The sequence below is a fragment of the Homo sapiens genome, chromosome 12 (genome assembly GCF_000001405.40).
Source record: "Homo sapiens chromosome 12, GRCh38.p14 Primary Assembly".
In the NCBI taxonomy this organism is placed as follows: domain Eukaryota; kingdom Metazoa; phylum Chordata; class Mammalia; order Primates; family Hominidae; genus Homo; species Homo sapiens.
The window spans coordinates 109,578,115-109,601,573 of NC_000012.12; the positions used below are offsets into that span (position 1 = coordinate 109,578,115).

Sequence of the window (23,459 nt, forward strand, 5' to 3'; positions counted from 1 at the left end):
GCATTAGGGGTGCGACACAGAGTGCATTATGTAGGGAAGGGCTTGTTAGTTTTGGAGCTCTGGGAGACATACTATCTTCTAGGTTGCAAAGATCTACCATCTTTCTTTCAGTGTCCTTTTGCTCCCTCCTGATAGTAATAAACATTGAACTTTTTTTTTTTTTTTAAGAGGCAGGGTCTTACTATGTTGCCCAGGCTGGTCCCAAATTCCTGGGCTCAAGTGTTCTTCTGCCTTAGCCTCCCGAGTAGCTGGGAATATAAGCACATACCACTGCACCGTGCTACTACAGTGAACACTTATTGGGCACTTACGTGTGCCAGGCACTAAGTGTGTTCACATATGTTAGCACTCTTAGAATTCGCCAGCATTCCCTGGAAGTAGGTGGTGGTATTCATCCCCATTGTACAGATCTGAAAATTAAAGTTCAGAGGTCAAGTGGCTCAGGTTACACTTGTTGGTGACACTGAAAGGATTCAGACCCAGGTTTCTCCTAGCCCCAAAGTCCAGGCTCTTAACAGCTGTTCCATCTCGATTACAAAGCTCTGAAATACCTGGGTTCTCAATGATGCCATGACTTGGCCATTTGAGTATATCATTAATCCATTCAACACACATTTACCCAGTACTTAACCAGTGCCCGAAGTTTCCTAACACACGCATGCCCAATTCCATTTCCCAGTCCCTTGAGAATGTGACCTGAGGCTCAGCGAGTGATTTGTAAAGGTGAGCTGGCCAGAAAGGCTCTGCCTTCTCAGTGTCTCAGAGGAAAGTGGCCCAGGTTCCTGTACATCCCTGGGAACAACCTGCCTCACCTTCCCCTTCTGCCCAGGCACCGCCTCGCATTTACACTGTCCTATTCCTGATGATTATCTTTTGGAGGAGGGAAATATTTTGGGGGTTAACTTAACACTCTTTTGATTTTGGTTTTATACAATGGAAGGTGAAACCTAGGCCCTTGTGCGATTGAGCCAGCATTCTCTGTGTGTGTCTGTGTGTCTGTGTGTGTTTGTTTTAAGACTACAATTTTTTTTTTTTTTTTTTTTGAGACAGGGTCTCACTCTGTTATGCAGCCTGGAGTACAGTGGTGCGACCACAGCTCACTGTTTCTTCAACCTCCTGGGCTCAAGCGATCCTCCTGCCTCAGCCTTCTGAGTAGCTGGGACCACAGGTGTGCGCCACCATGCCTGGCTAGTTTTTGTACTTTCTGTAGAGTTGGGGTTTCGCCATGTTACCTAGGCTGGTCTCAAACTCCTAGGCACAAGTGATCTGCCCACCTTGGCCTCCCAAAGTACTGGGGTTACAGGCATAAGCGCCTGCACCCAACCTTAAAACTACTGTTAATTAGCACTTACTACATGCCAGGTGCTGTGCTAAAAAGTTTACACCCCTTATTTAACTTTACGTTCCTGACAACCGTAAGAAGAGGCACTGTTGTTATCCCTGTTTTACCAAGGTGGGAAACAGGTTCAGGGAGGTTAAGTCACACGGCCAGTAAATGGCACAGTTGGGACTCAAACCCAAGTCTGCCTAAAGCCAATGAACAGACTTGGGTGTGGGGTTCAGACCATAAATTCGTGTCCATCCATGTTCCAATTCCAGTGACTAGTCGATTTTCTGTGTTCTGTTGTTTATAAAGCACCAAAGTCCCTCTCACCCACTTGTGTTTGCTTGTTTGCCTGTGGAACAGAGCAAGGTGATGTCACAACACCCACCTCAGAGCAAGTGGAGAAGCTAAAGGAGGTTGCAGGCTTGCCTGACGACTGTGCTGTCACCGAGCGCCTGGCTGTGCTGGCCTTTCTTTACTTATACCTGTCCATCTGCCGGAAGCAGAGGTGTGTGCGTGGTCTGGGGAAGGAGTCCAGATTCAGCCTCCCATGGAGAAAAAGGAAGAGTTTCTGTCATTGCTGCTGGAGAATGCACATGCTCTCTTCTAGAGCAGCAGCCATTGGCTGTCCTCATCATGTGCCAGGCACCCTGCCAGGCACGGTATATATGGCGTGCCTTTTTTTTGAGACAGGGTCTCTGTTGCTCAGGCTGGAACGCAGTGGTATGATCTCAGCTGACTCCAGCCTCGACCTCCCAGGCTCAAGTGATCCTTCCACCTCAGCCTTCCAAGTAGCTGGGACTACAGGTGCGCACCACCATGCCTGGCTAAATTTTTAAATTTTTGTAGAGATGGAGTCTCACTGTGTTGCCCAGGCTGGTCTCAAACTCCTGGGCTCATGTGATCCAACTGCCTTGGCCTCTGAAAGTGCTGGGATTAGAGGCATGAGCGACTGCACCCGGCCCCAGCCTCTCTGTTGTTGTTTTTGTTGTTTTTGTTTTTGTCCAGAACCCAAAGGGAAAAAAACCTCAAGGGGGCAGCCCTTCCCTTGAGCAGCAGATGCTGGCTCAGTGGCCAGGCTCTATGCTGAGGACACATTCGGAAACGGCCTGATACTTGCCGTCCGAAGCAGAATTTCAACTTGAGAGAGGCATGTCCCCTTAAGTGGGTGAGGGGCATTCCAGAATCTTCCAGGCTGGGTGGGGTGGGTACGTGGAATTTGAAGACGCACATTATTACAATTTTTCTATTTGGGAAATGGGAAAAGCACTTCGTGGAAATTACCAAACATGAAGTTTGACAGTTCTTGCTTGGGGGAAATACATGTAAGATGTAGCGATTCGGACCTTTCTGGTGATCAAAAGCAGACCCGTGTTACACATGGTTGGGGAGCACCGTCTGGCGGGAGAGGCCCCGGTGAACACACAATCCTAGTGTGCGGTGGTGAGGCAGCGGTGGAGGGAGGGAGGGCAGGCGGGGGTCCTAGAAGGGGAGCCAGGAGGGTCTTTGTGGGCAGCTACGGAAAGTGTCACAGTGGAAGCGACATTTGATAAGGCCTTGAGAGATGGGTAGGGATTTCTCTGTGGGATAAGGAGGTGCACGGCTATTGCAGGCAGAGGGGCCAGCCTGTGCTCAGAGCAGGCCCACAGAAAAGCCTAGCATGTGGGCACAGGAAGGAGGTGGGAGAAAGGGGTTGACAGCTTGCCAGGTGCTTCTGGGAAGGGCTCTGGTTGAATGACCCAGGGATTTAAATGAACTTGATACCTGTTTTCTAGTTGTCTGATTCAGCATGAGTTCCTGATGTTCAATAGGGATACATTTGGGGTCAGGAATTCTCCCCCAGTTGAGAAAACTGGACCAGATGCTTGGAGTCAGGCCTGGGCCTGGCCCCTGGTTCAGTGCTGGCACCCCACTGCCCTGCGGGAGAGTCACGTTTCACACCCTGGTGTGTTTCAGGGCCCTGCCGAGCCTGGATATCGTAGTGTGGTCGGAGCTGCCCCCCGGGGCGGGCTTGGGCTCCAGCGCCGCCTACTCGGTGTGTCTGGCAGCAGCCCTCCTGACTGTGTGCGAGGAGATCCCAAACCCGCTGAAGGACGGGGATTGCGTCAACAGGTAACCATGGTCCTTACCTGGCCAGTGTCCCTCCCGCACGGCAGGACAGGGACGTGGCTTCTCTCACTGAGACCTCACCACCTCCCTGTGAGGTGAGAGGTGTCATAGTGGCCATTTTAACATGAGGAAGCTGAGCCCCGAGAGGTCAAATGGCTGGCCCAGGGCCACACAGCTAGTGCTGGCAGAGTGGGATTTGAACTCAGAGTCTGAGCTTTTCTCTCCTGCTCTCCACCACCTCTGCTCACCCCCATCTTGGCTCTGTTGGTTTCAAGCGCCCATGGTATGGTAGAAAGAGCTGGAGTCCAGATCTAGAGGGCAGCAGGTTAGATGAACCCTCCCACCTCTGCATTGACTCAGGCTAGGACAGTGTTCTCCTCTGTATGGTAATGACAGTGCCCTAGGGGTGATTGTCCAGTTTTACCACATGGTTATGAAAGAAACTAAGAGTTTGCTGAGAAATCCACATTAGGGGGTGTGCCCATTAGACTAGGGCATCTCTCCTCCTACGGGGCCGTCTCCACGGAGGGCGTGTCACCTCTCTGCGTTCCTATTGACCACGTGAGTCAGTGAGGCCTGTCCAGACAGGCTTGACCACAGACCATTTCTATCATTAGGAGAATGTTCCTTGAGAAACCACCCAGTGCGCAGAGGTTACGCAGTTTGTCCCAGGACCAGGAGTTGTGGATGAGGCCCCCAAATGCAGAGCTCTGTCCTCTTCCTGGGCTTGTTTTTGTTTTGTTTTGTTTTGTTTTCTGAGCTTGGTTTTTTTGTTTGTTTGTTTGTTTGTTTGTTTGTTTGTTTTTTGAGATGGAGTCTCGCTCTGTCACCCAGGCTGGAGTGCAGTGGTGTGATCTTGGCTCACTGCAACCTCTGCCTCCAGGTTCAAGTGATTTTCCACGGGCCAAAGGACTGGCCCTGTCTTTCAAAAGGTGGAGGGTGACTGTGTGTGTGCACTTGCATGTGTGTGTGTTCTTATGCTGCTTCTAACCATTTCTCCCACCTTCCCCTGAAGGCCAGTCATTCCTTCTCAGAACCCTTAGGGAGAGTAGACCTCCCACCCCACCCCACCCCACCACACCCCACCCATCATGTGTTTCTGAGTCGGAAAGGACTGGAGCCCAGTCTCCTTTGAAGACTCAAATCTGAGCCCCCTAAAAAACAAACTGTGTAGAGCAGGAGGAAGACTCACATTTGTTGAGAGGGCCAGGCCCTGGGCTAGGTCAGCTGCCTGAGTTACCTTCCCCCGCCTCCATCACTCACTTCATCCCAGGCACGCTGCCACCTGTTGGTCCCTGGGAAGGGCCAGCCAGCTCTGGTGTGGTTCCAGTGCTGCACAAGTGGTGTGTCTGGAATGCACCCCACACACACACCTTGCCCAGCTGGCTCCCCTTGTCCTTCAGGCACCACCACCCCGCCCCAGCCCCCAGCAATTCAGCCCATCGTACTCTTACAGAAACACCTGGTTTGTTTTTGTTTTTGTTTTTTTAACTATATTATCATTTATTAAATGTAATTAGGTAGCTCTGGATCCTTGGTCTGTTTTTTTTTTCTTTTATTATTATTATACTTTAAGTTTTAGGGTACATGTGCACAATGTGCAGGTTAGTTACATATGTATACATGTGCCATGCTGGTGTGCTGCACCCATTAGCTCATCATTTAGCATTAGGTATATCTCCTAATGCTATCCCTCCCCTCTCCCCCCATCCCACCACAGTCCCCAGAGTGTGATGTTCCCCTTCCTGTGTCCATGTGTTCTCATTGTTCAATTCCCACCTATGAGTGAGAATATGCGGTGTTTGGTTTTTTGTTCTTGCGATAGTTTACTGAGAATGATGATTTCCAATTTCATCCATGTCCCTACAAAGGACATGAACTCATCATTTTTTATGGCTGCATAGTGTTCCATGGTGTATATGTGCCACATTTTCTTAATCCAGTCTATCATTGTTGGACATTTGGGTGGGTTCCAAGTCTTTGCTATTGTGAATAGTGCTGCAATAAACACACGTGTGCATGTGTCTTTATAGCAGCATGATTTATAGTCCTTTGGGTATATACCCAGTAATGGGATGGCTGGGTCAAATGGTATTTCTAGTTCTACATCCCTGAGGAATCGCCACACTGACTTCCACAATGGTTGAACTAGTTTACAGTCCCACCAACAGTGTAAAAGTGTTCCTATTTCTCCACATCCTCTCCAGCACCTGTTGAGAAACACCTGCTTTGAAGTCACATATTGCAGTGTCATGGATTTGTTTGTATTTGAATACTGATCGCTTTCTGACCTTCACTTTCTCCATTAGACTCTAAGCTCCAAGAAGTCAGGGACCTTGTCTGTTTTGCTCCCTACTAGGAGCTTAGTCACAGGCACATAGCAGTTGCTCAATAAATGCTGAATGAATAAGTGAGTGTATCTTGTTGGCACCATTAAGTTAGTAGCTAAGAGCTTGGGCTCCAAGTCAGCAGATGTGGTCCTGACCCAGCAGTGAGTAGCACTGTGATCTCCAGGATGCTGTTTGACCCATCCAAGCCTCAGTTTCCGTTTCTGTAAGAAACAGGATAATTATTATACCTTCCCTGTAGGGCACAATTGGGAGGATTATGAACCATTTCTCAATGGTCCATTTGAGAAAGCATTTAGCACAATGTTTGGCACATGCTAATCAATAGTATGTTAACTGATGTTAACTCATTATTAATCATAGTCTCACAGCTACCATGTGAGTTGCCAAGTCCGTAAAAATCCTTATTTGGCAGATGAAGAAAGAGACTCAGAGCAGGTAATTGACTTGCTCAGGGCTCACAGCAAGTAAGTGATTGAACCAGGCCCCCAGGCGCTGTGACCCCAGACGGCCTATTTTGAGGGGAGCACATCCTATCTCCTGGGCATTACACAAAGCACTTGTGTATTTTTTCCATCTCAATATCCTCAGTGAGATAGACACTATTATCCCTGTTTTATGGATGAGAAAACAGGGTTTAAGGTGAAGCAGTTGCTCACAGATGCCCAGTGAGTCAGTGATAGGATGGGCTCCAAAAAGGGCTCACTGGCTGGGCACGGTGGCTCACGCCTGTAATCCCAGCACTTTGGGAGGCTGAGGTAGGCAGATCGCTTCAGGTCAGGAGTTCGAGATCAGCCTGGCCAACACAGCAAAAACCCATCTCTACTAAAAATACAAACATTAGCCAGGCGTGGTGGCAGGCGCCTGTAATCCCAGCTACTCGGGAGGCTGAGGTAGGAGAATCGCTTGAACCCAGGAGGCAGAGGTTGCAGTGAGCTGAGATCGTGCCACAGCACTCCAGCCTGGGGGACAAGAGCGAAACTCCATCTCAAAAAAACAAAACTAGGCTGACTGCTTACTCCATAACTCTGCCACTGAGCCACATCATTCTCAGAGGTCAGAAAACCACCTTTAGCTTCTGCTGTTTCATGAGGAAGGGAATCTGCAGAAAGGAAACAAAAGCTGAGAGAAAAGAGTGGGGAAGTGGGGTTGATCATTTTGTCTTGTTCCATACTCATGTGTTTTGGGTCTGTTCATTTAAACTGTTTGTGAGCCCACACCTGGTCCATGGAAGGCAGTGAGGCCACGTGCTTGGGAGAGATCCAGACATGGTTGGGACGAGCCTGGCCCCTCCAGGGGTCTCTGGGGCTCCTGGGATTTGAATTCATAATGATCGTGCTTTGGATCTACTTGCAGGGCCCTGGGAAAGAGTCACACCTCTGCCCGTTCTTCTTAAAGGCAGGCTTGGTTCAGGTGTGGACGCTTATGCAGAGGTCTGTTATAGTGGCAGTTGCCACCTGCTGCTTGTGGACACCTTGCCATCATTAGACACACATGCAGCTAGCCTCTGAGGAGGGTGGGGGTTCCAATTCTCCAGGGAAGGATAATGAGGCTCAGAGAGGTTAGATAACAGGCCCAGAGTCACTCAGCTAGTAAGAGGCAATGCAGGGGCCAGGTGCGGTGGCTCATGCCTGTAATCCCAGCACTTTGGGAGGCCAAAGCGGGCGTTCGAGACCAGCCTGTCCAATATGGTGAAACCCCGTCTCTACTAAAAAATACAAAAATTAGCTGGGCGTGCTGGTGTGCACCTGTTGTCCCAGCTGCTCGGGAGGCTGAGGCAGGAGAATTGCTTGAACCCGGGAGAAAGTGAGCTGAGATTGCACCACTGCACTCCAGCCTGGGTGACAGAGTGAGACTCCGTCTCAAAAAAAAAGAAAAAAAAAGAGGCAAAGTAGGACCACGGGAGTCCAAAGCCCAGGCTGTTTTGACTGCGCCAGGTGGGCTTCAGAGGGAAGGGCGCACACTTGGCACGCTCCGTAGCTGGAGAGGTTCAGAGTGGACTTGTTCTTTCTGAGCTCAAGGGCCCAAGCTCCTATGCCCCTTGGCCTGCCCAGCACAGCCCCAGGTGACCCCTCCCCAGCCCCACTCCTCACTGCCACAGTAAAGATGAACATCTGTGTCTTCAGGTGGACCAAGGAGGATTTGGAGCTAATTAACAAGTGGGCCTTCCAAGGGGAGAGAATGATTCACGGGAACCCCTCCGGAGTGGACAATGCTGTCAGCACCTGGGGTAGGTGTGGCCTCAGGTTTATTTTATTGTTGTTATTTTAAAAATTCTTATTACAATGGTAGGTGCCCAAGAGTCTGTGCTGGTTTGGGAGGAATCGAATCAATGGATTCTGGAAAAAATAGCATTTTCCTATTTTGGGGGGAATGGGGAGAAATCTTGGGGCCCTGTCTCACACCCCCTGAATCAGAATCTCCGGGGGTGGAACTGGGGCCTGGGAAGCTGCAGCTTCCACGAGCTCCCCAAGAGAGTTGTAGGTTCAGGATGCAGAGCCGTTGCCGTGGAGTTTGCACACCATCCAGGTGGCCTCCCCTCTGGCAAGAACTCTTGCTTACAGGGCCCAGATGCTGTGTCCTGGGCCCCACCTTCACCATGTGGCTTGTCGGGGGAAGCTGGACAGTCTGGAGGGAGGGGGACCCAGGAATCCAAGGCCTGGCAAGAGCTTCCTGGTGGGGCTTCGGGGACCTTTTGCCCTCCTGCACCTTTTGTAACTGAAGCTGGGCTGACTCATTACTTAGCCTCTTTCCTGAATGGGGCAAAATGAACCCAACCCAAAGTTCAACCTCTCTCCCAAGTAGCACAGATATGTTAGCTTTTCCCACAGCTCTGACCCACTGGTTTTTCTCTTTAGGAGGAGCCCTCCGATACCATCAAGGGAAGATTTCATCCTTAAAGAGGTAACCTGGGGGTGGAGCAGCACATTCAGCCATGGCTGCATTGATGTGTGCAGGGGGCAGAGCTCTGCACCTTTGGGAAGTACCATAGGAGGCAGGTGTCCCTGGCTCTTCATCCCCCAATGTGGCCCTCACAGTGCACTAGCTGCAAGGAAGCAGGGGTGGTGGGGAAGACCTGCTCTCTCCTTCTCCCCTTCAGCTCTTAAATTGCAGAGATATCAGAAAGGGAAAGTCATGCATGGCTGTGCCCGTAGACTCTCAGCTGCTCATTCATTCATTCCTGTATTTGCTTAGTAAACAAGAATCCATTACTTCCTGTGTTCCCGATGATGCTGCACTGGGGCGTAGGAATGGAGAGATGAAGCTTGGGTACAGTTTCCAAGGACTCTCAGTCTGCTTGTGGGGGTGGGGCCAGACACACACAAAAGCCGCCACAGGACAATGTGAGAGTCACCATGATGGAGGCACACAGGGCAGAGGCAGGATGGAAGCGGGAGGGAGGCTTGGGAGGGGCTTGGAGCAGAAGTGACATTTGGAGACTCTCAGCCTGTTTTATGTTTCTGTGTCCCTCCCGCTGGAATCATTGGAATCACAAACGTGCATGTGCGATTTCAGCATTCTCTGTTCTGTTTGCGATTTCAGCATCCTCTGTTCTGTTTGCACCCACGGCAGAATTGTTGGGTGCCTGGAATGAAACGCATGGCAGAGGGGAGCCAGGTGCCTTTTTGACTGTTCCCTAAGCCCTTGATCAAGTTGTGGGGTGGTGTTTGTCCCAGGGCACTTTGCCACCTCCATGGGCCTTTTCGCATCAGTAAGGGTCCTGGGGCTCTCTCCTCTTTACTCAGGGCGGTCTTCATGGATGAGTGGCAGGTCCTGGCCTGCAGCCCCCACCAGCTGGGCCACTCCATTAGTGGCTCAGTAACCTGGCCTGCCACAGCGCCACACCTGGGCCCCCGGCTAGTTCTCTGGGATCTTTCTGTCCCAGCTCAGTCATGCCTCCCTTTCCAAGGCTGTACGTCAGAGTTGTCAGCATTGGCACTATTGAGATTTGGGGCTGGGTTATTCTTTGTGGTGGGGCTGCCCTGTGCATTGTAGCCATCCCCAGCCCCTACCCACTAGATGCCAGTAGCACCCTCAGCGTGGCAATCAAAAACATCTCCAGACATTGCTTAGTGTCCCTTGGGAGGCAGAATCACCCTTGCCGCCGACCTTTGCACTCCGCAGAAGCCAGTAGGAGCGTGGAACAGCTTCCTCGGGTTGCTCCAGCAGTCGTCAGGAGAGCCTCGGGTGCCGAGGTGAAGCTGGTCTGCCACCGCCCCGGATCCATGTGGAACCAGAGCTGGATCATGTGGGGGAGTCTCAAATGCCCGGGCCCCGGCCTGTCTTCAGGAGCCCACGGTCTGATGGGGAAGGCGGTCACTGGAATCGTCAGAGAGAAGACACCTGAAGGGTTGTGAAGCTGCTGTGGGTGACAGTGACAGGCGTCTTAGATCTGGCTGCGAGCCTGGGGAATCATTCATGGAAGTGGTGGCATTTCATTCCTTCAGTGTCTCCTGAGAGCCACTTGTGGCCTAAGCACTGGACTAGGCCCTGGAGCTAGAAAACTGATGAAGACGTGGGCTGGGCACCGAGTGTACGGTCTACTGGGGGCATCAGGAGATGAATGAGGAGGTTTCCAAGGGGGGCGGGCAGGGGAACGGCCAGGGGAATGGCCAGGCGTTGCTGGTGTGCTGGGCGGAGGCGCTGGGTCCACAGGCCTAGGTTTGAGTCCAGCTCTCCCACTTGCCAGCTGGTGCCCTCAGGTGAGTCACTTCTCCCAGACCTCCAGCTCCTTGTTTACTTAGGGGGATCTTGAACATACAATCAGAAGCGGTGGCTCTGAAGTGCTTACCTGTTTGCTGGCCGAGTTCATTCATCCTTTCCACAAGTATCATTAAGCACCTACTGCGTGCTGAGTACTGGGGCCTCCGCAGGGAACAAAACAAAGCCCCGCCTCCGTGGAACTCATACTTTGTTGGGAGAGGAGAAAAAATCAGTTGTCTGTGAGAGCATATCAGGCAGTCTTAAGCACCTTTAGGAAACAAGGCAGGGTCAGAGGCTACAAAGAGAAGGAGGGGTCCGATTGGATGGGGGTTCGGGGGCTGCTGGTGAAGGAACATTGAGCAGAAACCTGAATAAGTCACGCCGCTATGGGGCGGGGCTGGTCCCTGGCAGAGGAAGCGCGGTGCAAAGGTCCTGAGACGAGCACGCTGCCTGCCGTGTGACACAGTAGCTGGGAGGTCAGAGTGGCTGAGTGGAGTGAGCAGCCTGGGGAGCGAGGAGAGAAGAAGAGGCTGGGGCAGTGGCCAAGCCCGGATCACAGGAGCGCTTACCAGGCTTACCCCCTGCGTGGTGGCCGCTGGATGGGTATGAGCCCTGGATCTGGTGGGGCTGGTGACAGGCCTGTCTGCAGAGGACTTGTCTAAGAAAGATGAAGATGCAACACCCAAACTCCTCCCGCCTGGCTAGATGGGAGCATGGAGCAAACCAACCTTTGCTGCCTGCTGTGGGGTGCCACGGGAGCAGATGGCGGCTTCACAGAGAAGCTGGGGGCCAGACTCCACGTTAATCCCATGGATGGCTTAAGGAGCTTCCCCCCACCAACCATGCGTGGTGCCTCTCTGTAAAGAAAAAATGCATTGTTTGTGAAGTGGATCAAGATGCGGCCTCCCAGAACGCTGCCCTTTTGAGGAATGGCTTGTCTTAGAAGGGAAGAGAAAAGCCAAATAGAATGTTCATCTTTTGTAAAGTTAAAAAAAAAAAAAAGCCAGCCTCCAAGGCTGAGAATCGATATTAATTTCATGGGCTTATGGGCAGTGAGATAAAGCAGGTTTCTGGCAGCCCTTTCCAGCCCTATTGGATTTTACAATCTTGAACTGTGAAGACAGCGAATAAAGGTATCAAGGGCTCTGCCCGTCTCCAGCTGTCTCGGGCCAGAGCTCATCCAAATCCCCCACCTTCCATCCCAGCCTGCAGCCCTCTGAAAGGCAGGTTGGATGGCAAGAAATGTCAGCTTGAGCCCTCGAAGACGGCTCACTACAAGGACAGTTGGGATTGTGGCTTTAGGAGGGATTTATGCAGCTCCTCTGGGGCAGGTGAGGACCACGGGGTCATGCTAGAGAGTCAGCTCAACGTGGCTGCCTGGGACACGTCTATGTGCCAGAGGGCAGCCAAGGGGATGACTGACTCTACATCTGGTTTTAGACCAGGGCTGCTCGTCCGGGCACCATTGAGGTAGGGCAAGAATGGGCTCAGCGTGCTGGGGACCATCCTCCTCTGCAACCCTGCCCTCCCTGCATTTACGAGCCCGTGCGTGGCACTGCCCGCACCAGCTAGCCTGGGCATCTTCCCTCTGTGTGATCCATTTCAGGGCCTGTTGCTTGGTCTTTCTAAAACTCCAGCTTCGTGGGGGTGACCCACACAAGTGAACCTTCGCCCCCTCCTTGTACTCTGCTATAGCCACTTTGAATTTCTCACTGGATGACTGTGCCGGGTTCCGCCACCTCCAGGCTCACACAGGCTGCTCCAACTGCCAGAAATCCTCACCCTTCTAGCTTTGCTTGGTGGCTTCTTACCCTTCCTCAGTTCTCAGTGTCCACGTCATGCCAGAAAAACCTTCTCGGCCCTTCTCCCCTATCCCCTCTCTGGCCCCGGCCCCAAGGCCACGCTGTGCCTAGCATGTTGTAGGTCCCAGTTGAAGTTGAATGAATAAATGAGTGAAAAGCCAAGGGAGAATGGCCACCCAACCAGTGCCTGGGATGGAGGCGCAGCTGTGGCCAGCAGCAGAAGCCCCATGCTCCCCCAATCCAGTGTCACCTCTTGTGCCTCCCTTCTTCCTCCGTATCAGGGTGGGCGGCTTCCCGGACTGCTCCCAGTCCTGTCCCAGCTCCTCCATCTTGAGTTCAGTGTGGACCTGCCTCCTCTTCACCCTGCAGGTCGCCAGCTCTCCAGATCCTGCTGACCAACACCAAAGTCCCTCGCAATACCAGGGCCCTTGTGGCTGGCGTCAGAAACAGGCTGCTCAAGGTGACTCTTGTTCCCTTCTTGGGCAGGTTTCAGGAAGGCCAGGACACAATTACATCTGGATTTTCGAGGTCTCCCTCTGGCTGATGGGTTATAGGGGGTGTGGTGGGTGGTGGGGGCCCTTAGGGAGGTGGTTTTGGCAGAAAAGAAGGTACCGTCCGTGCCCGTAGCCTGGCCAGGAAAATGACAGTGGTCGGGCTCGTTAGACACACTGACTTTGCAGCTGGGAAGGCAAAAAAACAGGCTCAGAAGAGAGGTGGTTTCCCCAGAGGATGGGCACGGGCTGTGTGAACACCTCCTCCCTCCACCCCACTGCTGGGGCAGCTGTCCTGCATCTGCCTGCCCCCAGGCCTCACCAGCCGTTCCTTCTTTTTTTCTCCAGTTCCCAGAGATCGTGGCCCCCCTCCTGACCTCAATAGATGCCATCTCCCTGGAGTGTGAGCGCGTGCTGGGAGAGATGGGGGAAGCCCCAGCCCCGGAGCAGTACCTCGTGCTGGAAGTAAGAGCCTGTCTGCAGGAACCGGGGTTACTGAGTCCACACCACTGTCCAAGGCAGTGGCTCTGCAATCTGGCTGTGCTCAGAATCCCCCGGAAGCTAGCACATAGAGGTCAGGACCTGCCTCTGGCCTATGCTCTCAGCTGGGCCCAGGTCTGTGCGTGCCATATAAGCGTATCTTATTTTCAGGCCTCTTCCTGGGTGATTCCGAGTAATTGGGAGAGTGCAAGGGAGGCCAGGGCCTGGCTCGTGCTAAGTGCAATGGAAACAGGTTTGGGTCACTTCTAAGGAGCTCTGGCCCACGTAGGTAGATGGGGATGTGGCTGATGCAGAGTGCTCTGTCGGTGCAGGGGTGACTTCTTGGTCACTCTCCTGCTATTGCTAACTTCATGGGTGCATTCAACAACTACTTGTCAACTGCCTGCTTTGGGTCAGACAGATCCTAACATTGTTTTTTCATCATTGCAACCCCATCCACTGCCATTTGCATAATTCTAGTGTAGAGGTTGTGACCTGGTACTTTGGGTGTGATCAGGCCTGTGTGTGAATCCCAGCTCCACTTCTGCTGGACGTGTGGCCTCGCTAGAGTGTCTTAAGAATGCTCAGATTAGACGGGCGCAGTGGCTCACCTGTAGTATTAGCACTTTGGGAGGCCAAGGCAGGTGGATTGCTTGAGTCCAGGAGTTCGAGACCAGGCTGGGCAATGTGGTGAAACTCTGTCTCTACAAAAAATACAAAAGTTAGCCAGACATGACGGTACATATCGGTAGTCCCAGCTACTCGAGAGGCTGAGGCAGGAGGATCACTTGAGCCCAGGAGGTCAAGTTTGTAGCCTGGGCGACAGAATGAGACCTTGTCTCACACACACACAAAAAATGCTTGGAGTCTCATGGGTGACACGCAAGCACAATGTCTGGTGTGCTATGAGCTTAGGGAACCAAAGAGCCCAGGCTCCCCCTGGACACAGTCCACCTGGCCTGGTGAATATGGGCTGTTAGCCATCTGGCTGCCCTTGCAGAATGAGAGGATCGGGTGGCCCCTAGCTGCCGTGGCTGTGCAGCAGCCGTCAGTGAAGGGACAGGAGAGGGGCGTGCGGTCTCCATGTCACCACAGTCCCTCCCCGCGCCCCGCACTCTGTAGTCATTGCCTGGTGTCTCCCGGTCCCCCGTGGGCATTCGAGTCTGTAGCCCCTGTGCTGAGTGGAAGCTGCCACTAAAGCAAGCCTTTTACAAATGATTCTTTTCACTTGATCCTCACACCCACCTCCCTGTGAAGTAGGTGTCTTATCCCTATTTTACAGATGTAAAAACTGAGGCCTGAAGAGAGACTTCCCCCAAGGTTATCCAGCTAGTGAGTGGCCGAGCCAGGGGTCCAGCCGACGGACTGGTCTGTCCCTTTATTCAACAGATCTGTCATGAGCACCTACTATGTGCCAGGGCAGCGCCTCCATCGAATTCCTGTGTTTCGGCCCTCATTCCCTCAGTCTTTGTCTTCCTAGCTCTCAATTCCTTCCACATAGAAAGGAGGGAACACAGTCCCCCCGAGTAGGAAATCAATAATGATAGAATACTGCCTAAAATACACCCTGTCGAGTCCCTGGAGAATGCCACAGAACAGCACGTTGATTATACATTGTGTGTATTTTTGGCTGTGGCAGCCGCTGAAATGTGCAGCTCAGCTCCTGGACAGCTTTGCACTCAAACCAGCGAACTGTTCTCCTGTGTCACAACCTGTCATCTGATCCTTGACAGATTTTGGATCAGAATGTGACAGGTGTCTGGAACCTGCCTCGGCAACGTGACACCTGGTGCTCAGGCGCAGAGAGCGGCCCCCAGAAGTCTTCTCTCACATCCAGCCCATCAGGCTGGTGAGAGGCACCCGGGGCTGCCACCAGGCCATCATGCCTGTCTGCTCATTTGTCAAAAATGGTGAGCTTGGCGCAGAGCGAGGTATGAGGCAGGCTGTTGGGGAGGGCCACTCCAACCCTGCCTGACCGGCCATCCCCATGCGGGAGAGCTAGGTGGGCCTCCGCAGAGATGCCTCAGTGATTGGCAACTCCTGGTATACAGGCAATCCAGGTGCCCCGGAACAGAGCTTCACACGGAAGTGAGGAATGCCAGGGGGTGCTCTCAGAGGCAGGGTAGACAGGAGCTTCATGTCAGGCAGACCCGCCTTCCAGTGCCAGCTTGGTACCTACTAGCTCAGTGATCGTGGGCAAGTCACTTCTTCTCTGAGCCTCTGTTTCCCCTTTTGTAAAGTGGGGATGATGCTAACGTACCCATAAAAATACTAACAGCACATATCTCGTGCCAGGCATTGAACAGAAAACTCACCTTGTTTCGTCTCAGGGCAAAGAAGCAGATTTTTTTTTTTTTTTTTTTTTTGAGACAGAGTCATCTTGCTCTGTCGCCCAGGCTGGAGTGCAGTGGCACAATCTTGGCTCATTGCATCCTCCCAGGTTCAAATGATCCTCGTGCCGCAGCCTCCTGAGTAGCTGGGATTACAGGCACACGCCAACATACGTGGCTGATTTTTGTATATTTAGTAGAGATGGGGTTTCGCCATGTTGGCCAGGCTGGTCTCAAACTCCTGACCTCAAGTGATCCACCCGCCTCGACCTCCCAAAGTGCTGGGATTAAAGACGTGAGCCACCACACCCTGCTGAGGCAGATACTCTTATGACCCCGGTTTACAAGCAGGAGACAGACCCAGTGCAGAAGACCTTGCTCAAGGACACACGACCAAAAAGGGGCAGAGCAGAGACTCGAACACAGGCCTACTTGACTCCAAATCCCATGGTTTTTACTTCCTGATGGCTGGGACCGTGGCTGGGCACCCATCCTTAGAGCCCCAGCACGTTGTGGGTGTTTGGTAAATGAAATCTAACTACTGGGTGCCTGGGCAGTGGAAGCTGTGAAGTTTTATTTTTTCATCCACATGCATCTTGTTGGATCCTTAAAGAGCAGGAAGTTTATCCTGCATAACTGAAGAAACCTAGACAAACAGCTGTTTCCCTGCTTATGGCCTTGCTGGAGTTACACCTAGTTCTTATTCTGAAACCAGTCCCCAAGGCAGCTGTAGGGAGGCATGTTATTTGAAACTTTTTCTCTTGCAAATGGCAGAAATCCATTTCAACCAGACTTTTGTAGAAAGGGAATGTATTGGCTCTCAACTGAGAAGACCAGAGGTAAATGGCTTCAGGTATAGCTCAATCCAGGGGCTGAAACAATGTGTCGGGAATCTGTCCATCTGCCACGTAATATCTGATCATGTGGCAAGATAGGTCATCTTGGCGACTTGTGTCTGAAGTTAATTATTTTAGCAGCTCTAGTGGGAAGGGGCAGAGGAAACCCTGGGAGGGCTGTGATTGGCCCAGCTTGGACCACATGCCCATCCCTGATCAGTCACCAGTGCCAGAGGCTTCTGTGACCAGCCCTAGGATATGTGCTCACTGCTGTGGTGAAGGTATGCTCAGCTCTACCCAAGCTCCGTGAGAAATGCTGCAGGGCAGAAGGATTCTTTTACAAGTGGAGAGGGCCAGGGTGCCAGGTAGGCAAAGCCGTTGGCTGTCTCCAGCCAACAACTGTCAGATGGACGAGGCAGGCTCAGGGGTGGGCATAGGACCTTGGCCTCAGGCAGGCCAAGTGGGAACAGATGGAACCTTCTCCCCTAGGAGCTCATTGACATGAACCAGCACCATCTGAATGCCCTCGGCGTGGGCCACGCCTCTCTGGACCAGCTCTGCCAGGTGACCAGGGCCCGCGGACTTCACAGCAAGCTGACTGGCGCAGGCGGTGGTGGCTGTGGCATCACACTCCTCAAGCCAGGTATCCCGGGGGTAGGTGGGCCAGGCTGCCAGCCTGGGCTCCTAAGAGGGGTCCACCTGGAGAATTCCCTTGAAAGGAAAAAGAGACCTGGAAACAGGTCTCAGCTCCGCTGTGTGGCCTTGGGCAAGTTAGTTAACCTCTGGTCTTTGCTTCCTCATTGGTAAAATAAGGATGAGAGTATCTAGCTTGCAAGATCGTTGCCCAGATTCAAGCAGGAAAGTGCACCTAGAGAGCCTGGTGCAGGGCTGGGCTGTGGCTGGGGCTCCTGTCATCGGGGCTGTCCGCACAAGCTTGGGAAGTAACCAGGGCATTGTCACTCTCCACGTCTGCCTAACCTTGCCCCACTTGTACCCTTGATGTGGTCAGGATGCGGTTGATTTTGCTACAAAACGAAAGGGTTTCCTTCCCGTTGGTTTGGGGAAAGAGGAAGACCGAGTAATGGGCTTGGCTTAGGAAGCTCCCTGGTGCCTGGGGGCCTGGCAAGGGGCTTCTGCTAGTGTTTAACCACCTGACACCTACCTCTGCCCTCAGGCTCGCTCCTGGCCTACAGTAGGCACTAACCGGTCCCACCTGCCTCCATTTCCCTCTGTGCTCCTTGTCCCCTCCTTCCTTCCTTCTTTCTCTTTCTGTCTTTATCTCCTCCTCTCTGTTCTTCATCCTTCCTTTCCCCTCTGCTTTGCACTGAGCCCCCTTAGGCTCCAGACATCCCCTCACACTCCATGATGGCTCCCAGGCCTCAGGAGGTGGCCACATCCTCACTCCAGCCAACCCCAACTGTTGGTTCCTAGTTCAGAGCCCATGACGATGGTGGGACTTGACATTTCTGGAGTGTGCCCGCTGTGCCAGGTGTTGTGCCAGGCACTTTACCTGCGTTATTTCCTTTAAGCCTCCCTGAGATCTGCACGGGGAGTCATCATTAGCCCCATTCCCAGATGAGGAGACTGAGACTGAGAGAGGGGAAGTCACTTGTCTGAGGCCACACGGCCAGTACAAGGCAAGGCCAAGTCCTGTGACTTGAGAGCCCATGTTTTTAACTCTTGCTCCCTAAACCCCTGGGGGTGCAAGGCTGGGCATTCCAGTGCACGGAGGGGCTGCAGGTAACCTTGGGCTTTATGGCCTGTTGGCTCAGGTGGGTCACAGCCAGGAAGGCACAGCAGGAAGGCCTGGGCTTTTGCCTTGAATATGATGAGCTTCTCCCACGGAGCGGAGAGTTGTCAAGGGTGACCTGCCTTCCCTCCCCGCAGGGCTGGAGCAGCCAGAAGTGGAGGCCACGAAGCAGGCCCTGACCAGCTGTGGCTTTGACTGCTTGGAAACCAGCATCGGTGCCCCCGGCGTCTCCATCCACTCAGCCACCTCCCTGGACAGCCGAGTCCAGCAAGCCCTGGATGGCCTCTGAGAGGAGCCCACGACACTGCAGCCCCACCCAGATGCCCCTTTCTGGATTATTCTGGGGGCTGCAGTTCGACTCTGTGCTGGCCAGCGAGCGCCCAGCTCCTGACACTGCTGGAGAGGCCCCAGCCGCTTGGCGATGCCAGCCAAGCTCTGCAGTCCCAGCGGTGGGACCTAGGGAGGCATGGTCTGCCCTCTGCATCCTCTGGAGCCAGCCGAGCAGGAGGCCTAGGAGGGTCCTCTGAGACTCCAGACCTGAGGCGAGAAGGGCTGCTTCCCTGAAGCTCCCACAGTCCCATCTGCTTCAGGCCCCCGCCTTGGCCTGTGTTCTTCCTGGCCGCCTGGGTCCAATGCTCAGGTGCTGGGGCCTGGTTCCCGGAGAAGTGTGCCTTCTCTCTCCCTTTTCAGGGACCGCCCCCTGTCTCTCAGGGCCAGGCCTCTCCCTCCTCCAGGAAGCCTTCCCCTACCCCTTGTCGCCCCTCCCTCCCAGAGCACCTGCTGTCTGGGTGGCTCACTCAGCACTTGGTGTGGCCTTCCCTTCTACCTAGCGGGATGGGGCTCCCCCAGGGGCTGTCCCGGAGGCGGTGGGCCTGGTTAAATAAGGCAGGGTTTATATGCACTTTCTTCCGATCTGTACCTGAGAGGTTTGTGGAAAAGATGGCAAATGGGGAATAAAAAGATTTTGTGTCAACAGTAGAGACTCCAGGCCACCAGCACCTCCCTCTGTCCCTGTCCCCTCTCCAGCTGTTTCCTCCATGGAGCTCTTCAGCAATGGAGGGAAATAGGGTTTGGGGTCACTTTGTTGTGCGTCTTGGGGATGAGGTGGCTTTTCCCAGATGGCCCTTGCTGGAGAGGGACTGGGACACGGCTCTCAGTCCATCAGCACAACTCTAGGCTGCTGCTGCGGAGGGAGAAGTTGAGCTTCCTAGCTCCAGAATCACAAGCACCCACGAGAGCACAGACCTGTGTAAGACAGGAAAGCAGAACCTGCCATCGCTCCTGGGGCGCGCCTTCCTTTCTGAAATGAACTGGCTGGATGGAGAAAACAGACTCAAATGTTCTGGCCCGGGTGCCTGGCACTCCCCACCCCCGCCCCCCACCGGCCCTATTTGAACTTTATATTGCAGTCAGCTTGGTGCTTTCCGAAATGCCATTAGCCATCAGGAAACCCTTGTAGTTGGTGCCTTGCCAGCCAGAACCTCTGGGACCCACGGACCTGCAAAGAGGCCGAGTGGAAAGGTGGGGGCCGGCGCAGGGATTTCAGGATGAGGTGAAAGCGATTCAGTGCGCGTCTGCCCTTGGCCACTAGGGGGCAGCTGGCGGCCTTCCCTGCTGTTGTCTTCCTGCAGGGTGAGAGGAGCAGGAGCCGAGCTCCACCCCCACGCCAGCCTTGGGCCCGGCCTGGGATCACTGCTGGGAACGTGAGAGTGAAGGGAGGACGCCTACCCCAGCTTAACTTGTAGAAATGGCCCCAGATCACTGATGGCTGTTCCCTGCCCCTTCCCTTCAAAACACAACGCATAAAGCAGTAATACTAATTAATACTGAACGCTCACTGTGGACTAGGCGTGTTTACGCATCGCCCCTTCTCATCTCTGCCCCGACCTCAGTGTCATTGCTAGTCTCATCCCCGCTTTACAGACCAGGAAACCAAAGGTCAGAGAGATCGAGTAACTGGTGCAAGTCCACACAGCTCATCAGCATCTGAGGCCGGATTCAAATGGACTCCAGAGCCTGCTCTTAGCCCCTACGTGTGTCTGCTGGGTGCGGCTCTGTGTGCAGGCTCACTGCGATTTTTTAGCTTTCTGTGCTCAGGCTCGTTTTTCTGGATTCGGATGTATTTGACCGGGGTGGGGCTCGGACCTGCATGTTTTCCTCCCCACGCGATTTTAATGAACAACCAGGCCAGAGGCTGCTGTGCCCTCAGTGATGGCGCTGGCTGACAGCCAGCCTCCAGCCTTTAGGAGGTGGGCCTGGGAGCCTCCCCAGGCTTCCATAGATGTCCGCGGCAGCTGTGAGATGGGTGCAGGGGACAGAGGCTGAGACCCCCAGAGCCCGTCTGCTCCTTGAGGCCCTCTCTCTCTCATTCCCTGGGGACAGGATGTCACTCCTGGGGCAGGGGCCAGCTCAACACTCTTGCTCCAGTGAAGCAGCTGCCGGTGCGCTTTGGCCAGAGCAACCTTTCAACCCAGCCACCCCTGCGGCCACCATATGGGCCTGGTGTCACACTCCTGGCTACCTTGTAGACAGTTGGCACTTGCGGCTGTCACCCCTTCTCATTGCCTATTGCAGTGGTTCTCGCTCTCAGAGCTGCACCTCGGAACCACCTAAGGACCCACGAATTCCTGACTCCACCCCAGATATTCTGAGTTAATCTGTCTCAGCGGTATCTTTTTAAAAAGACATCTTTTAAAAGCTCCCAGGTGATTCTAACGTGTGACCAAGCACCACATGGTGCTGCACACCTGTAGTCCCAGCTACTCAGGACGCTGAGGCAGGAGGATCGCCTGAGCCCAGGAGTTGGAGGCTGCAGTGAGCTATGATGGTGCCACTGCACTCCAGCCTGGATGACAGAGTGAGACCCCGTCTCAAAAATATTTTTAAAAAATAAGAAAATGCAGCCAGGGCTGAAGATACCGAACTGGATGACCCCAGGGTCATCTCTGCACGCCATTGTGGTGGTTGAGCACTTCAGCCCTGCCCACCCCCTGGCCATGTGACCTTGGGCAAGACAGCTTACCTCTGGAGGCCACAGCTTCCTCATCGGGAAAGTGGGATTCACTAATACCCACCTTATGGAGGTTTCGTGGGGATCAATGAGAAAATATACAGAAGGCCCTTGACACAGTGCGTGGCACACGGTAAGTGCTCAATAAATACTCATTATTATAACTGTCTTATGCTGAGAGATAAGGGTGTCTTCCAGAGCCCCAAAACTTCAGAATGGTGCACAGAGCTGGCTCAAGGCGCCCTGCCCAGATGGTCCAAAGCCCCTAGGTTGAGACCCCTTGGGTCGCTGTTGGAGAAACACACCTAAGGCCCACCGGCTTTCCCACCTCCCTGCTTCCTCTGCAAAGAGGCGGTCACATAGCACTGACACCTTCTTTGCGAGGGGAACAGCAGTGCCTTTCAGGTCATAAGCTGGAGCCGCTCCCAGGGTCTGCAGCCTGAAGTTCTCAGAGAATTTCCCTGGTTCTGGCAAGGGTCTCACTTTGGGAGGCAGGCAGGAAATACTGTGGTTCTTTCCAGACAGAGTAGCTGCTATGGTTGCACTGATGTCGTCTCTGTCAGTGAGGAGTCCTTTTATTTATTTTTAGACAGTCTCACTCTGTTGCCCAGGCTGGAGTGCAGTGGCGCCATCTTGGCTCTCTGCAACCTCTGCTTCCCAGGTTCAAGTGATTCTCCCGCCTCAGCCTCCCAAGTAGCTGGGATTACAGGTGTGTGCCACCACGCCTGGGTAATTTTTGTATTTTTAGTAGAGACAGGGTTTCCGCCACGTTGGCCAGGCTGGTCTCGAACTCCTGACCTCAAATGATCTGCCCACCTCGGCCTCCCAAAGTGCTGGGATTACAGGCATGAGCCACCACACTTGGCCTGGTGAGGAGTCTTTCCTCACCAAGGTTTCTGTGGCCTGCTGGCAGCCAGTCGCGTTGGCTGGCTGGCTCCAGGTCAGCAAGCGTGGTGGGGGGCCGGCCCTGCCCTTCGCTTGTGCTTGGCCCAGCCAGCTCCTTTCTCCTCCACGGCTGTTTTCCTCCTTGTTTCCTCAGCTAGCGCCCTTTGGAAGACACCTGGCTCAGGGGCCCGCACCTCGCAGGTGCTTCCTTCCCCAGCCCTTCCTGGTTTCCAGCTAATTTTGGACAAGTTCTTTGGCTGTCTCTTAGCACCTACTGTCTTCTAGGAAGGGGCAGAGAGCTGGATTTGAGGCCAGGAGCTCTGGTTCCTAGTCTGAGCTCTTTAGTTCTCAAATTATAATATTTTTACTATTACAGAAACAGTGTAAATACACTGTAGAAAGAAAATACAGATTAGCAAAAATCACATCAAAGCACTGTGTTTTTACCATACAGAGATTACCCCTGTGAACAGCTGCCACCTTTCCCTCTGTGTGTGTGTGTGTGTGTGTGTGTGTTCATGCTGTTCGATAAAGTGAGATCATACTGTACATGCTGTTTTGTTACCTACCTTTTTGGTTTCCAGTCACCTTTCTCTGTCAATATGTTTCATCTCTAATGCCCAGGCTATAGTCACATTTCCTCCAGTTGGGCCAGGTGTCCGGCACCCTGTCTAATACCACATACCTGGCTGTTACAGCCCTGGCTTCTCTTTTAATCTAGCACAGCAGCCCTACACACACACACACACACACACACACTCATACCTATTTTTCTCCATGATATGACTTGCTTAAGAGACCCAGCGGATCATCCTGCAGAATGCTGTGTCTTCTACACTGGTCATTCAGAATCCAGCCCCTCCACATGGCTTTGGGAGGTCTTGAACCCTTTACTGAGCACCTACGATGTGCTCAGCATGGTGCTAAGTGCTTTGTGTGCTTTATCCCTGTGAATCATTTCAGTCCATTGAGCTAATTACCGTGCTTATCCCCATTCTGTTGGTGAGTAAACTGAGGCCCAGAGTAGGGAAGTGACTTGCCCAGGGTCACGTGGCAGAGTGGGATTTGCACGCAGTTCTGTGTAACTTCAGGGCCCTGCTCTTAGCCCGTGTCTAGACTCTCCCCGGGGAGGTGACTGGTGACCTCTCCGAGCTCCCTCTCCCCACCATACCTAATTGACAGAACTGAGTTGTCACATCTGCCCCAGCGGTGCTGGCCCAGCTCACCCCTGCTGCCCGCTTGGCCCTGGCTGTGAACACCTCAGACCCCCAACCTACACAACAAACAGGCAAAGGGAGCAACCTGCCAAAGAACATGATGTGTGGTCTCACAGCACTGTGCCCGGAGCCCCCACCTCCCCATATCCAAGGAAAACCTGGCACTGGGCCGA

At 53.3% G+C, this 23,459-nt stretch overlaps 1 protein-coding gene across 15 annotated transcripts in view, besides 1 other annotated feature; it reads left to right on the forward strand.

Moving 5' to 3' along the window:
- Window positions 1-20,011, forward strand: part of MVK (mevalonate kinase) — a 24,854-nt gene extending 4,843 nt beyond the window's left edge. For 6 of the 15 annotated variants that reach the window (XM_047428873.1, XM_017019314.2, NM_001414511.1 and 3 more), the window contains 8 exons: window positions 1,688-1,832; window positions 3,281-3,436; window positions 7,908-8,011; window positions 8,640-8,685; window positions 12,657-12,747; window positions 13,127-13,243; window positions 16,914-17,067; window positions 18,312-20,011. In XM_047428873.1, coding sequence (XP_047284829.1) covers window positions 1,688-1,832; window positions 3,281-3,436; window positions 7,908-8,011; window positions 8,640-8,685; window positions 12,657-12,747; window positions 13,127-13,243; window positions 16,914-17,067; window positions 18,312-18,463 — 965 coding nt within the window. In that variant the 3' untranslated portion in view covers window positions 18,464-20,011. Of the gene's footprint in view, window positions 1-1,050; window positions 1,169-1,687; window positions 1,833-3,280; window positions 3,437-7,907; window positions 8,012-8,639; window positions 8,686-8,976; window positions 9,052-12,656; window positions 12,748-13,126; window positions 13,244-16,913; window positions 17,079-18,311 lie in introns of all 15 variants that reach the window. The other 9 variants (XM_017019313.3, NM_001301182.2, NR_182758.1 and 6 more) reach the window with 8 other exon arrangements.
- Window positions 20,414-21,103: an enhancer, noted in NCBI's record as "H3K27ac-H3K4me1 hESC enhancer chr12:110036333-110037022 (GRCh37/hg19 assembly coordinates)". NCBI's record gives its function as "activates a minimal SCP1, AML or CMV promoter by ChIP-STARR-seq in naive H9 embryonic stem cells {active_cell/tissue: H9 hESC(naive)}" and the evidence as "EXISTENCE:reporter gene assay evidence [ECO:0000049][PMID:30033119]".